This window comes from Homo sapiens, chromosome 10, assembly GCF_000001405.40.
Source record: "Homo sapiens chromosome 10, GRCh38.p14 Primary Assembly".
NCBI classification, from domain to species: Eukaryota; Metazoa; Chordata; class Mammalia; order Primates; family Hominidae; genus Homo; species Homo sapiens.
In genome coordinates this window covers 7198708-7212741 of record NC_000010.11, presented here as the reverse complement: position 1 = coordinate 7212741, position 14034 = coordinate 7198708, and the positions used below count along the sequence as shown (strand labels likewise).

The 14034-nt window shown below is 42.9% G+C and overlaps 1 protein-coding gene across 12 annotated transcripts in view; it reads left to right on the top strand.

The window, feature by feature from the left end:
* The window catches only part of SFMBT2 (Scm like with four mbt domains 2), a 252867-nt gene that overhangs the window by 198749 nt on the left and 40084 nt on the right, over positions 1-14034 (top strand). For all 12 annotated transcript variants that reach the window (NM_001029880.3, NM_001387890.1, NM_001387889.1 and 9 more), the window contains 3 exons: positions 6814-6927; positions 10220-10262; positions 12258-12328. In NM_001029880.3, coding sequence (NP_001025051.1) covers positions 6814-6927; positions 10220-10262; positions 12258-12328 — 228 coding nt within the window. The remainder of the gene's footprint in view (positions 1-6813; positions 6928-10219; positions 10263-12257; positions 12329-14034) is intronic.

Below are 14034 nucleotides of genomic sequence, written 5' to 3'. Positions count from 1 at the left end.
CTGGATGTGTGAACTTGGCACTTTCTGAGTGTAAAATCTTTTTTATTTGTACAGCTGTATAAAACAGCTAGTGATAGAGTCTCTTATAGGATGGTGGCAAGTGGATGAACATCGATAGAGTGTAAGAGTCATGTTAGCACGTAGTAGTCATTGCTTAGTAAATGGAGGTTGCTGATAGTATTATTAGGCAGCACTTTTCTTTTAAGATTTGCCACCTGCGGGAGCCTGTGCTCCAGCTGAAAGGAGCACTTGTGTCTGCAAGCCTCCTGATTTGGTTCTTGGTGCTGGACACTGTCCCACAGGGCTCTGTTCCTCTCCGTGCACCTGACAAAGCACCATGTTTTTACAGGCGGTCCTGTGAACTTTGCTTGCTCAGCGTTTGCTGAGTAGATCTGAGGAAGAAATAAAATGTGTATTCCTAAATGAAATAGCGATTTAAGATACAGCAGTCCATTAAGAACTGCTGTTTGGCCAACCGAATTTGGGGACAGTGAGATCTTTTATACTGGAAGCTAAAATTCAGAAACTCCTTGACTGGTTTGTCTCTATGACTGACTGACTTGAGTTCCAGCAAACTGCCCTCCACATCCCAGTCAACGGGGTCCTATTAGAATGCACATTTCTCCCAGACCTAGTGCCTCCAAGTCCCTTAGCAGTGTCTCTGGGAATCTGCATTTGCAAAGTCTCCCTCCCCTGATGTTTCTCATGCAGCCTAGAGTTTGTAAAGCACTCCAGTAGGTCAAATGGGGAATGCATGGTGTGGTTCAGAGAAACCCGTCTGAGCCCACCTTGTATGTTTAGGGGACCAGCTGTGGAACAATGGTGTGGTTCAGAGAAGCCCGTCTGAGCCCACCTCATATGTTTAGGGGACCAGGTGCAGAACACAGCCCCTTAAGTTTTTCCGTAACTGGCAAAAAAAGTCAGGTAGTTACTATGCATTTTGGAGATACTTGCAAAATTGAAACAAGGGAACATGTAAACGTGAAAACAATTACATTTCAAGCCAGGGTGGGTGGTTTTAAAACCTTTACAAAGAAGAAGTATGGCCTCTATGAAACCTTAGGGGGAGAAGCTGCTTCAGCAGATGAGAATACAGCAACAGTATTTTCCAGACAGTTAAAGCAGGTGACCCACAGGAGCTGTCTCGGGGAAGAGGCGTTTAATCCCGCCACAGGTGTTTGTTTGGAAGGCTGCTGCTCTGTTAGGTTTTGGGGGCCAGCAGCAGGACTGGCTCTGGCTGTCGTAAGTCCATTGGGAATGATTTGGGAAGACTGTTGACCAGAGGCCGGGGAATCGCCTCTCCAGAAGGCTCTGCAGCAGGAACCATAGCAAAGTTCAGGTTTTCCAGCTGCCATTGTGGTGCATGTGACTTCCCGGTGAGCACATTCTCACTGAAGGGGTCCCAAGCCTGCCTTCATCTGCCTGCAGGTCTGGGGTTGACCTGGCTTTTCCTGTAGCAGCAGGCAACAGCTACTACATGGTGGGAATTCTGCAAGAACTGTATGGGGCCCTAACAGGAGGGAGACAGTTGCTAGACACATACCCCCCACCCAGAAATAAAAACGAGGAAGGAAAAAGATAGCCGCCCACCCCAGGTGCTTTCTAAGGCTCTGGAGCTGGACTGCCCAGGTTTAAATCCTTCAGCTGCCACTTGCCGGCCGCTGGATTTCTTCCGGTGCCTCAGTTTACTGATCTCTGAAATGGGGATGAAAACACCCCGTATCTCTTAGGGTTGTTGTGAGGATTGAACGCTTGGAATGGAGTAAGCACTGTGTTTGCTACTGTGTGGGTCTCTCTCCTCTCTCCCCTCCCCACACCCCCCCCATACTCGTCTAATCCCATTTCTGTCATTTCCTTCAGCCTGTTTCCTATGATACCTTGATCCTGGCCACCAGTTTCGCCCACCGTTTTTGGTTTTGTTTTTGGTTTTGTTTTCCCAGGCCTTCGGCTCCAGAGCTGACCCAGGGAGGCTTTGCGCGCTGGGCTTCTTGATAGGCATCTGCAAAGGGAACACGCCCAGAGGGCAGGTGGGGCTTCCAGCGTCCAGGTCTTGCTTGCGGGCACTCACACCGGCTTTGCATTCTGCTGGTGTTTTGCCTGTTCATCTCACACTCAAGCCTGTCAGCATTTGCCATGCCCTTTAACTTTCAGTGGGGACATTTATTAGGCAAGGTTAACACATTCCCTTAAATACTTCTTTTCCTTCTTCTGATTCCAGCCTTTAACTGAGCTGAAGCAGTTGTTCCGATTTTCTTCCTGAAGGAGGTGGAACCCATTTGCCTCCTCATGGTGGGCTTGTAGCCTCCCTCGCCCTGGGTCCCTCCTGCCTCTGCTGCCCAGTGGCATCTCTCACCCCAAGCTCATGCATGCTCGCGCTCTCTCCTGTGATTCGCTCTGAGTGAAGTAATTACATAATTTTAGGAGTTTGATAGAACTGTGTTCCTAGGAAGACACTCAGGTGTCCTCCCAAGCCATAAGCATCTCCCTTTTTCATCCTGGGGCTCTGGGTAGCATAGGTCACTGTCTCGATTACAGTCACCTGTGTCATCGGCTGGGTGGAGCCGTGGTGTGTTTGCAGTGAGAGCACCAGGTAGACCTCTGTGTCCTGCTGAACCGGGGACAAGGGGGTAGCAAGCTGCAGAACTCTTTAAGGTTCCAAAGGGATTCTCAGAAATCTGTTATGAATTTAGATTGTGAGTACGGAAAGTCTTTGTTCTCTTAGAAACGGAAATGTTGATTGCTGTTTAGTTTTATTTTCCTTCATGGTAATTGGCCCCTCATTAACCTGACCTCTGTGGCAATACCGTATTTATGTATAAGAGTCTTACTTTCTTCTCTGGGTGTCTATGGTTGTATTGTTACAATGGTGGTGATTGTGGAGGCCTTGGTTGCAAAATAGGTAACTCATTCACAAAGGCCAAAAAGTCATAAAGGTTTATCTTGGGTCAGATTCTCCCTCCACTCCTGTGCCCCGGCCTCCAGCCAACTGGTTCCTTTCCCTGTGGACACCCACTGTGTTAGTATTTTGCATTTCCTTCCAGATTTATTTTATGCACATATGAATATATGTTATTTCCCCCTTTTAAACAGATGGTAGCATACTATATATGCACAGTGTTCTGCACCCTGCCTTTTATACTCGGCAGTGCATCTTGGAGATCTGTACATCTGAGTATATTAAGAGGTGTCTGATTCTTTTTTATAGCTGCAGAATATTCCTTCATATGGATATACCCAGATTTACTTAAGTGCTTTCCCATAGATGGGGAATTAAGCTTCCTCATGGTTTTTGAGACGAAGGTTCTGGATAAAAATAAACAAGTAGAATCCATACTGACCAGATGCAGCTTAGCCAAAGTCAAGAGATTGAACATGGTCTTGTGTTGTTTGTCGGGGATTTTTCGCTTGATCTTAGCCAAAAGGCCGAGAAGCAATGTGTCAGGATTTTTCTATAAAATGATAAAGGTCTTCAGTGGAACATTCAGCTTTGCCTATGAACTTTTTGCAATCCTCAAATAATCAAGGAGAAGCATTGTGGACATTCTTTTAATAGATTATTTTGCATGCTATTGGGTCTCCTGTCTTGGAAAATAATTAGTCTGAGTCCAGCCAGATAAATGTAGACTCATAAGCTTGGTAAAGGGAAATGAAGAACTTGGTACCCATTATTTAGAATGGGATTTGTTTAGGGTCAGAAACACTTTCCCAGGTGATAAATAACTGACTTTTCCATCAGTTCTTATTTAATAGATGCCTTAATGGGATATATTTGGGGTGGGAGAAGGCATAATTGTAACCTTTTTGAGGGAAAGGTAGCCGACGCATCTGACCTCATAAATACTTGTTTAATTGAATGGGAAAGATGATCAAAGGATTCTAAAGTATGGTAAAGACGGCCCTAGCAATATACTAATGTATACATTGTACTGAAGCGTATGTATTAAAGCCATAATACGATGTGATGTTTGAATTAGCAGAACATTGGAAGATGAAAGTTGTAATTGAGGAAGGAATAAGCCATAAAGTTACTTTTTTTTTTTCTTTTTTTTTTTTTTGAGATGGAATTTTGCTCTTGTTGCCCAGGCTGGAGCGCAGTGGCGTGATCTTGGCTCACTGCAACCTCCACCTCCCAAGTTCAAGTGAGTCTCCTGCCTCAGCCTCCCAAGTAGCTGGGATTACAGGCACCCTCCACCATGCCCAGCTAATTTTTTGTATTTTTAGTAGAGATGAGGTTTTGCCATATTGGGCAGGCTGGTCTTGAACTCCTGACCTCAGGTGATCCGCCCGCCTCAGCCTCCCAATATAAAGTTACTGTTATGCTTCCTTTTGAAGTACTACTTTTAATGACCTTGAAAATGTTATTTGTAGCTAAATGTAAATCTGGAAAGATAAATATATTTAGTAGAGGAATCTAACCTGTTAGCAAAATGTTTGAGTAGCTAAGAAACAAATGCTCTTTGGGTCTGCGGAGGAGAAAATGACCTTGTGTACCAGGAACCTGCCCGGGGACCTGCTTTATTGGACTCTGGGGAATCAATCCCACACCCTTCAGGACGGGCAGAGGCACTTCCACATTGGATGCCTCTGGGGAGAGTCTCTTTACGTTTTGTCTGTTTTGAACATATTCTTTCTTGTTTGATTCCTTTAGCAATTAGGCTAAATGTTGGTCAAGTCTTACAATATTAGACAGAAACAATGTCTATTTATTTAACCTTGTTCAAAAATAAGCCCTGTGAACCTTCTAGCATTCCTTTAAATTCTATATTCTTTAAATTACAGGGGAATTAAACATTTAAAAAGTTAAGACTGACAGTGGTGATAATTGATTTGAGAACCAATCAAAAGTTCAAAATGATGAATGACAATGATAGTATGTGTGTATAAGCACCTGCTGTCCATGTTCAGAGCACCTGAGATACACCAATATATTGGCTTAACTCTAAATTGGGACCCCACGTTTAGCAAGTAAAATACTCCATCTTCACCATGTCTACTTGACGATGAAAAGTCAGAGCCGGTGGAGCTCGCACCAGATTTAGGACCATTTTGTGTTTGGTTGTTGGCATTTAGCTTCGTGAAGTTATGGTTTTGGTGGGGAGGGAGGATGTGATTCAGAATTCTTCAGATGTTATGAGATGACTTGGATGGTAATGGGGCTCACCAGGTTATTTTCTTTTCTCTCTCCTTCCCTTCTTTCCTTCCTTCCTTCCTCCCTCCCTCCCTCTTTCCCCTTTCCTTCCTCCCTTTCCTTCCTTCCTTCCTTCCTTTCTCTTTCTTTCTTTTTCTTTCTTTCCTTCTTTCCTTCTTTCTTTCTTTCTTTCCTTCTTTCTTTCTTTCCTTTCTCTCTTTCTTTCTTTCTTCCTTCCTTCCTTTCTTCCTTTCTTGACAGTGTCTTGCTCTGTCACTTAGGCCAGAGTACAATAGTGCAATCACTGCTCACTGCAACCTCGACCTCCCAGACGTGAGCAGTCCTCCCACCTCAGCCTCCCAAGTTGCTAGGACTTACAGGTGCCTGCTACCACGCCAGGCTAATTTTGTATTTTTTGTAGAGACAAGGTGTCTTCATGTTGGCCAGGCTGATCTCAAACTCCTAGACTCAAGCAATCCTCCTGCCTCGGCCTCCTGAGTAGCTGGGACTACTGGTGCATGCTACCATGCCAGGCTAATTTTGTATTTTTTGTAGAGATGAGGTCTTGCCATGTTACTGAGGCTGATCTTGAACTCCTAGGCTCAAGCAATTTGCTGGCCTTGGCCTCCCAAAGTGCTGGGATTACAGTCATGAGCCACCACACCCGGCCACTGTGTTATCTTCATCTTGGTTCTCAATGAGGAAACCAAGCAGGGCTGGACTAAGGGGTCAGAGTCCATGGGTCACCGTCTATTAATGGAGCTCTGATCTCTTGATTCCTGGTTCAAAGTGTTTTTTTCTTAACTATTGATTTGGTGTCGAATTTTCTTCTTTTAACTAGTTCCAAATTTATTCTCTCCATAGCCAGAGCTCCTTGAAACTTTTGCTGCTGTTAAATCCAGTCTTCTTGTCTTTTTCAGAGTTTCATGGCTGTGAAGCCAGGTCCTCATAAGGCATGACTGTAATTACGAAATAGGATGTGACAGTCATCAGGTCCCACATTTTAGTGGGATCTTTTAGACATTGCTACATAAGTGACTTTTCTATGACATAGCCAAAGTCTACAGGCCACAAACTGAGTTCAAAACAAAGTAACTCCAAACTGATAAGTTGTCAGGTTTCCTAGAGAAGGGCCTTGTCCACGTACACTGCTCATAAACCTTGTTTTTGAGTTTGACTGGTTCCGTTTAGCTGTGATGCTTGACTTTCTTTCATTGAAGGTTGCCTTTACTTGGTGTTAGGTGGAGCATATCATGAAGGCTTAGATGTGGGCCCTGAGGTCCCACCCCAAGCTCCGATACATTCCCTTAACCCCAGAGCTGTTCTTAGGAAAGGGGGATGCTTGTTCTCTCTTTCAGCCAATCCTGCTCCGATGCCAATCTTTTCCTACGGTCCTTCTTCCTCTTTTACTTTTAGGGCAGAGTATCTCTCTTTTTCCAAACCTTCGTTTTCTCTGAACCCCTTTTATTCCTGCCTTTTTATATTTCAAGGAGTTTTGTCTCTGATAAGATTAAAGACTCCTCTAAAGTCATCTCTTCCATATGGCTATTTTGTTTTTGTTTTTGTTTTTTAATGTATAAAGGAATGTTTTTCCCCATGTTAGGGATGCTCTATTATTGTTGTCCTTCTATTTCTTTGTTGGTAAGATCTGTTTGTACCTCTTGTTTCAACTTCTTCCCATGCAGGGCTGCAGACTCCTGTTCCAGAGGTCATTGTTGATGTGGAATCCATGGACATCTTCCCAGTGGGCTGGTGTGAAGCCAATTCTTATCCTTTGACTGCACCACACAAAACAGTCTGTAAGTGGTTCCCAGTTGAGGGGGGGTGGATGACACCAGTGATCTTTGTGAATAAATTGGCAGCTTCATAAAGAAATTATAACCAAGTTCTAAAGAACAAATAAGATTTTTGATTTTCCACCAAGAACCCATGTTTTCATGATCTCGCTTAATCTTTAAGTGTTTGCATGAGATGATGTCACAGGTTGACAAACTTTAACAGTGAGGGACAGTTGAAAGTCACAGAGAGGCAGAGGAAAAATATCTGAAATCATCACTCTCAGTTTTTTATACAATTCATTGTTTTGATGTGAAAAAATATGTTAGATACTATATTATTGTGTTACCATTTCTTTAAAAGAACTGATTTTTCTCATGTAGCTTCTCCTAACAGAATCTTAATTGGTTCCAATAATATACTGACATTCTTATAAACACTTAACCAGGCTAGGCACAGTGCCTCATTCCTATAATCTCAGTACTTTGGGAGGCCAAGGCAGGAGAATGCTTGAGCCCAGGATTTTGAGACCAGCCTGGGCAACATAGTGAGATACTGTATATACGTAAAAAAAGAAGTACATATATAAGTAAATTAGTCAAGCAGAGTGACACGTGTCTCCAGCTACTCTGGAGGCTGAGGTGGGAGGATTGCCTGAGCCCGGGAGGTCAACGCTGCAATGAGCCAAGATGGCAACCAAGCACCAGTAGACTCCAGCGTGGGTGACAGGGTGAGACTCTGTCTCAAAAAATAAATAAAATAAACAGCCTACTCTTAGCACTAACTAATCACTGATATTTCAACTGTACTTTATAAAGTATATTACCACACGTCCCTTTGGTTACAGAAATACCAAATAACCAATATTAACAGTTAACCCAGCAGTAAACGCCCATTCATACATGTGTGCACACACGCACATGCACATTTAAATACATGCAAAAAAAAAATTTTTTTTTTTTTAAAGATGGAGTTTCGCTCTTGTTGCCCAGGCTGGAGTGCAATGGCGCTATCTCGGCTCTCTGCAACCTCCACCTCCCGGGTTCAAGAGATTCTCCTGCCTCAGCCTCCTGAGTAGCTGAGATAACAGGCGTGCGCCACCATGCCCAGCTAATTTTATATTTTTGGTAGAGATGGGGTTTCACCATGTTGGTCAGGCTTGTCTCGAACTTCTGACCTCAAGTGATCCGCCTGCCTTGGCCTCCCAAAGTGCTGGAATTACACTTTGGCCACGCCTGGCTAATAGTGTGTTTTAACATATTTTTGTAGGTTATTGTCACAAAATGGTACCATTTAAAAATCTTCTAACCTAATAAATCATTGCGTTTATTATTCTACCCTAATGCATATCAGAAGTGTTATTTAAAATGATGAGTCCTTAGAGATAACAGGTTTTAACTGTTAAAGAGATTCCGTCTCTGACATTTTCTTGATGGAATTTAGGCACCAACTTTACTTCTTCCTAACAGCCTGTTCTGTGGCCACTTCTGTAGACTCTCACAACGTTGCTGGAAACACAGTTCCATTGCATAGCTGACTTCACATTCCCTGATGGCGACAGAGTTTCAGGGCTCCTCTAGTTAGCATTATTAAGAGCACCAGAGGACATTATGTGTGTGAAACAAGCAGGTAGTTCAGATTAGAGACAGCTGGATTCTATGGGATTCTCCTTTTCCTAAACCATCCTGCCCAATGGATCTGATTCAGTTGGAGTAATCGTTTCCCCTTACTTAAAAATATTTCTAAAACATTGAGTGTACAATAATTATTTTAATCCCAGGGACATTCTTTTCCCCTGTCTCTTAAAATGATGCAGATTCTGGCCAGGCGTGGTGGCTCACGTCTATAATCTCAGCACTTTGGGAGGCCGAGGCGGGTGGATCACCTGAGGTCATGAGCTCGAGACCAGCCCGGCCAGCATGGCACAACCCCATCTCTACTAAAAATACAAAAAATTAACCAGGCATGGTGGTGCATGCCTGTCATTCCAGCTACTCGGAGGGCTGAGGCACGAAAATCGCTTGAATCCGGGAGGCAGAGGTTGCAGTGAACTGAGATCATGCCACTGCACTCCAGCCTGGGTGACAGAGCGATACTCCGCTCTGTCTCACAAAAAAAAAGCTGCAGATTCTGACCTTGCTCAGCCAGCATGGCCAATAGATTCTCCCCAACCTGAGTGTTGTCCTGGGGTTGGGGTTCCAATCCCCTCTGTCCTTGTTGTCCCTCAAACAGAACCTGGTGTCCTAGATCCTCTTCCTCCCCTCTTCACATGGATTTGGGAGGGTGCAAGTGCTTTGGGTTTTTCTGGAGCACAATCATATACAGGTTAAGGTGAACACTGTGAAGTTTCCTCCTCCTTTAGGATTTTGGATCTGTCTGTTGTGCTTGGCTCTTTCCCAGGGGGTCAGGCATCCCCACCCCGCTAACAAAGACCAGGGGAGACAAGTATTCCAAACTCATTTTTCACCTGAGAGATCCTAAGTCTGGACCTTTTTGTAGTAGTAACTGGAATTGAATATCAGATAGTCAAGAGTAGCGGGATCTTATTGAGTATTTTTCTTATTTATTTTTGCTTGCATTTCTTGCACATACATTTTGCTTTAAAGAGGCAAACTCCAACTCCAAACCTGCCAGACTCTAGCAGCTTTAGAAGTTTTGTTGGAATTAATTTATGCTTATGTTGGAAGATGTAGGATTATCTGAGCCAAAGTTAGTAGATGCCAAAAGCTTTGGTCTATTTTTGTTAAGGTGATCTGAATCAGTTACAAATATAAACTGGAAATGTTCTTATCCAAAGAAATCACTATTTGCTCATTTATGTCAATATTTGACCAGGCGTATTTGCGAGCTACTGGTTCTCCTTTTGTGAATAACATGTTTTAGTTGAAATGCATGCCTCTGACAGCACCTTGGGAGTGTGCTGTGATAGTAACATGATTTGCTTCATCACAATTTTTATTGGAAAAAAATCATTCCGGATAACTGCTTGCAACAATTGATCTGAACATGTGTGCTAATGTGAGGTACAACAGGTGTACTCTTTTGCTTTCTTAAATGCACATTTAAAAATAAAGTAGCTAGTGTAATGATAAGATTAAATGAACGAAGTTGTACTAAGATCTGACATCTGGTGAGTTAACGTCTATCCTATGCTAGAAGAAACTGATAGGAAATTGTGGCATGAATGACGTAACTTTTCAGCATTTAAATTGCTACTTTAAAATGGGTACCTCTTTGCTTTATAACCTATTTTTAAAAATGGACTTGCCCCACTAACAAAGCTGATTTTCTTTTTCCGTTTTGCCTTTTCTACAGCACAAAAGAAGAGAAAGATTGCAGTCGTGCAACCAGAGAAACAGTACGTGCTTTTTTCCCCTCCAGACTACACTGTATACCGATAAACTGTAGTGTCTTTATGGAGGATGGGAAGCATGGCTGTTTTTATTGGAGTTATCTAACAAATAGCACCCTAGTAGAGGTAGCAGTAAAACATAGTGACTGTTATTTGTTATGTACCTGTTATGTGCAAGACACAGTGCCTGCTCCCCAAGGCACTCGCAATCCAGATTCCCATGGCTCACTTTTTATTCCATTTCGACATACCTGGGGAGTGTCCCAGACCTACACACTGAGAGAAATCGCTGTCTGTGTCTATAGTTCTCAGCGTCTGCAGGGGCCCCACGTGGCAGGTGCAGTTTCGAGTCGCAGCCCCTCACCACACTCAGAATGCTGCTGCTTACTCACCTCTCCTAGAGTAGCCCAGGCTTGGGAGGCAGAAAACTTCAGTCCAACCCCAGCTCTGCTGAGTGAACCTGAGCAAGTGGCATTAATTCTCTGCCCCTCAGTGCCCTGGCTTGTAAAATACAATTTGGGGGTACTTACAAAGATTAAATTAGATTCCATTTGAAAAGAAGTGTAGGCCTTAAGTTGTAGGCTGAACAAATACAGATTATGCCCTGTCCCCCATTTCAGTCGTGATTTTCTGTGGAAACAGGGTGTCCCCCATTTCAATTGTGACTTTATGTGGAAAGAGGGTGTTAGCAAAGCGTGTCCAGGCAGGCAGTGTGTTTTTGAATAGTTGTGACTGCTAGTAACATTTGTAGATATTGAAAAATAATTTAAAATACGCCAAAATGTACATTCCAGGCCAAGGGATTCTGCTTTCTTAAGTAAATAAAAATACACTGATGGAAAGACAGGTGAAAACAGCATTTTTCACTTGCGGTAGTCGAGTTTAAATTTAAATAAGATGAAATTGAACTGGAACTGCACGATTTGAATGAGAAGAGCAGCTCTGTAGGTATTTTTTTGTGGGTTTGGTTCTAAATGCAGTTTATCTGGCTCATAACCAGACTCCACGTTATCCGCCTGATGGGGAAGTAGAGAGATTTCATAACACGCCTGTGACCGAATCCAAACTTGAATCCATCACTCCTTAAATGCACAGCCCGTGGATTAACGGTTCTCACCTTTCTCATGCATCAGTCACTTAGAGAGCTTGGAGCACACAGATTGCTGGGCCCCATCCTCAAAATTTCTGATTCAGAATGTCCGAGATGGGGCCCAAGAATCTGCATTTCTAACAAGTTCACAGGTAGCGTCAATGCTGTGGGCCTGGGGACCCCTCTTGGAGAACCACTCCATAGATGGCCTTGCTAAGATCTCTTGTAAGGGTTGACTTTGAGCTTAAGGAGCTTTTCAACCATGTGGTTTCTATGCCACCAACCTAGACACCCCTGTGAAACCTAGTTCACCTCTTTTCCCCTAAGGCTACATTGTAAAACACATATTTATTCAGCAACATTTTTACTGAACTATAACAGAGCTCTGTCCTGGAATAAGCCTATGTTACATTTTAAGATATGCCAGTTTATAGATTTTCTTTTAAGGCCTTATTTTTAGTGTGGCCATGACTCCCGCGGGCCCGGAGGTCAGAAATCAAAGGTTAGTGGAAAGTGGTTTTCAATTAGACATCGAAGTGGAAAAGTCTGACTTTAATCAAATGTAAGATAATGTTTCTTCATGTTTAAAATATAATTGAAGGCAGTATTACAATTCCATAGCAAGAGATAAGGCCAGAAGCGACCTGGGAGAAACTCACTGATCAGGACCAGCTGCTCAGGGGCAGGTGTCTCAGGCTTTCTTGGGCCATCCAAAGAATTGGACAACAACTTTTCTGAAATGCTGTTTTCATCTGGTCTTACTGGCATTGCTCCCATACACACATTCTATTCTATGGTCCTCTTATCTGAGATTTCTGGAAGAGCCCTTTTAAATTATGGTAAGACTTTGGAATGTAGTAGTTCCTTCTAAAGCTTGTGGTCCCTGATAGTTTTATTTTCTCTGTTGACAGATTGCCGCCCACAGTGCCTGTTAAGAAAATACCTCATGACCTTTGTTTATTCCCTCACCTGGACACCACAGGTAATCAGTCCCATTTAGGGGGTCTCTGTGCCTTCCCACCGTGCAGCCGGGAGCAGAGACATGTATAGGTTTCTAGGTCGATATGAATACATCTCAACGTTGAGCCTATTCTGTTTTTCTCCATTGCCACTCAGGAACGGATACCTACTTTTTAAAAAGAAAAATTTCTAAGCTAAATTCTCTGTGCCTCTTCTTTTCTGCTTCTTGGCCAGTAGCTCTAGATAGTTCTAGTCTATAGAAAAAGGGTTTATGTGTGACTTGCAAATTAGGAGCCAAATTAGGGCTGCATATCATGGGGAAAAGGAAAGAGTTGAAAATATCATCTCATTAGGCAATTTCTTTTTTGATATTTTATTTCCGTTCCACTTGCATTTTTCCACTTGCTGTTAGTATTTAAGTCGCCCCGAGCTTTTGAATTGTTCCTTAAAACCCTCTAAAGAGCTGGTTGTGAATAATATATGTTTTTTAATGTGTAAAGTCTTACATCTTACAATAATCTTTGGAAATACATTTGTGAGCTACCCTCTGACCATCAAGTCTGGTAATAGACATGTTTGTACATTATCATACTTGATTAAAAAGTCTATTCTCTAAGCCAAAATGAAACCTGCTCTGAATTCCAGGATTAAAACCAACATGTCATGGAAGAATCCTACTAGGAGATTATCTTGGTAGTAAAGAGCAGTTTTATAAGTAGCTTTAACTAAAATTTTGTTTTTCTGCAGGCCTGGTAATCGAAAGGCAGAGTAATCCTACCAAAAAATTTCCATGTAAATGCAGCTGTGGACTTCATTATTTTTCCTGTTTTATATAATTCAAACTTTAGAATGGTTTTAAAAGAACCATGACAGCTACCCTTTCATAGTCTATAATTGTAATTTTACTCCTTTTCTTTTATATCCAGAAGAATAACATTTCTGCTTCCTACCTCTGCTGGTTCCTAGTTGAAGTCTTTATGAGAGCAAGCCTTCCTAGACTGTTAAATTACCATCCCAGATTAATAGCAGTGGTTTTGCAGAAATTCCACTGTGAGTGTTGCTTAGCTTGGAGCTTGGGTAGAGTCAGGGTGGGGGCGGTGACTCCCTTAGCCAAAAGTGAAACCTCATTCTACATTTATAGACATTAAGAAACTTTTGGCCCAGCATGGTGGCTCATGCCTGTAATTCCAGCACTTTGGAAGGCTGAAGCAGGCAGATTGCTTGAGCTCAGGAGTTCGAGGCCAGCCTGGCCAACATGGTGAGACCTTGTCTCTACTAAAAATACAAAAATTAGCCGGGCATGGTGGTGCATGCCTGTGATCCCACCTACTTAGGAGGCTCAGGCAGGAGAATTGCTTGAACCCAGGTGGTGGAGGTTGCAGTGAGCTGAGATTGCACCACTGCATTCCAGCCTGGGCAACAAAGTGAGACCCTGTCTCAAAAACAAAACAAAACAAAAAACTTTCTTCTTTTTTTGAGACAGAGTTTTGCTCTTTTCACCCAGGATGGATTGATTACAGGCGCATGCTACCATGCCCGGCTAATTTTTGTATTTTTAGTAGAGATGAGGTCTCACCATGTTGGCCAGGCTGATCTGGAACTCCTGACCTCAGGTGATCCACCCACCTCGGCCTCCCAAAGTGCTAGGATTATAGGCATGAGCCACCACCTGTAAGAAAGAAACTTTAGATTGAGGTCTTATCATTTAATTATTCTGCTTGCCCATGG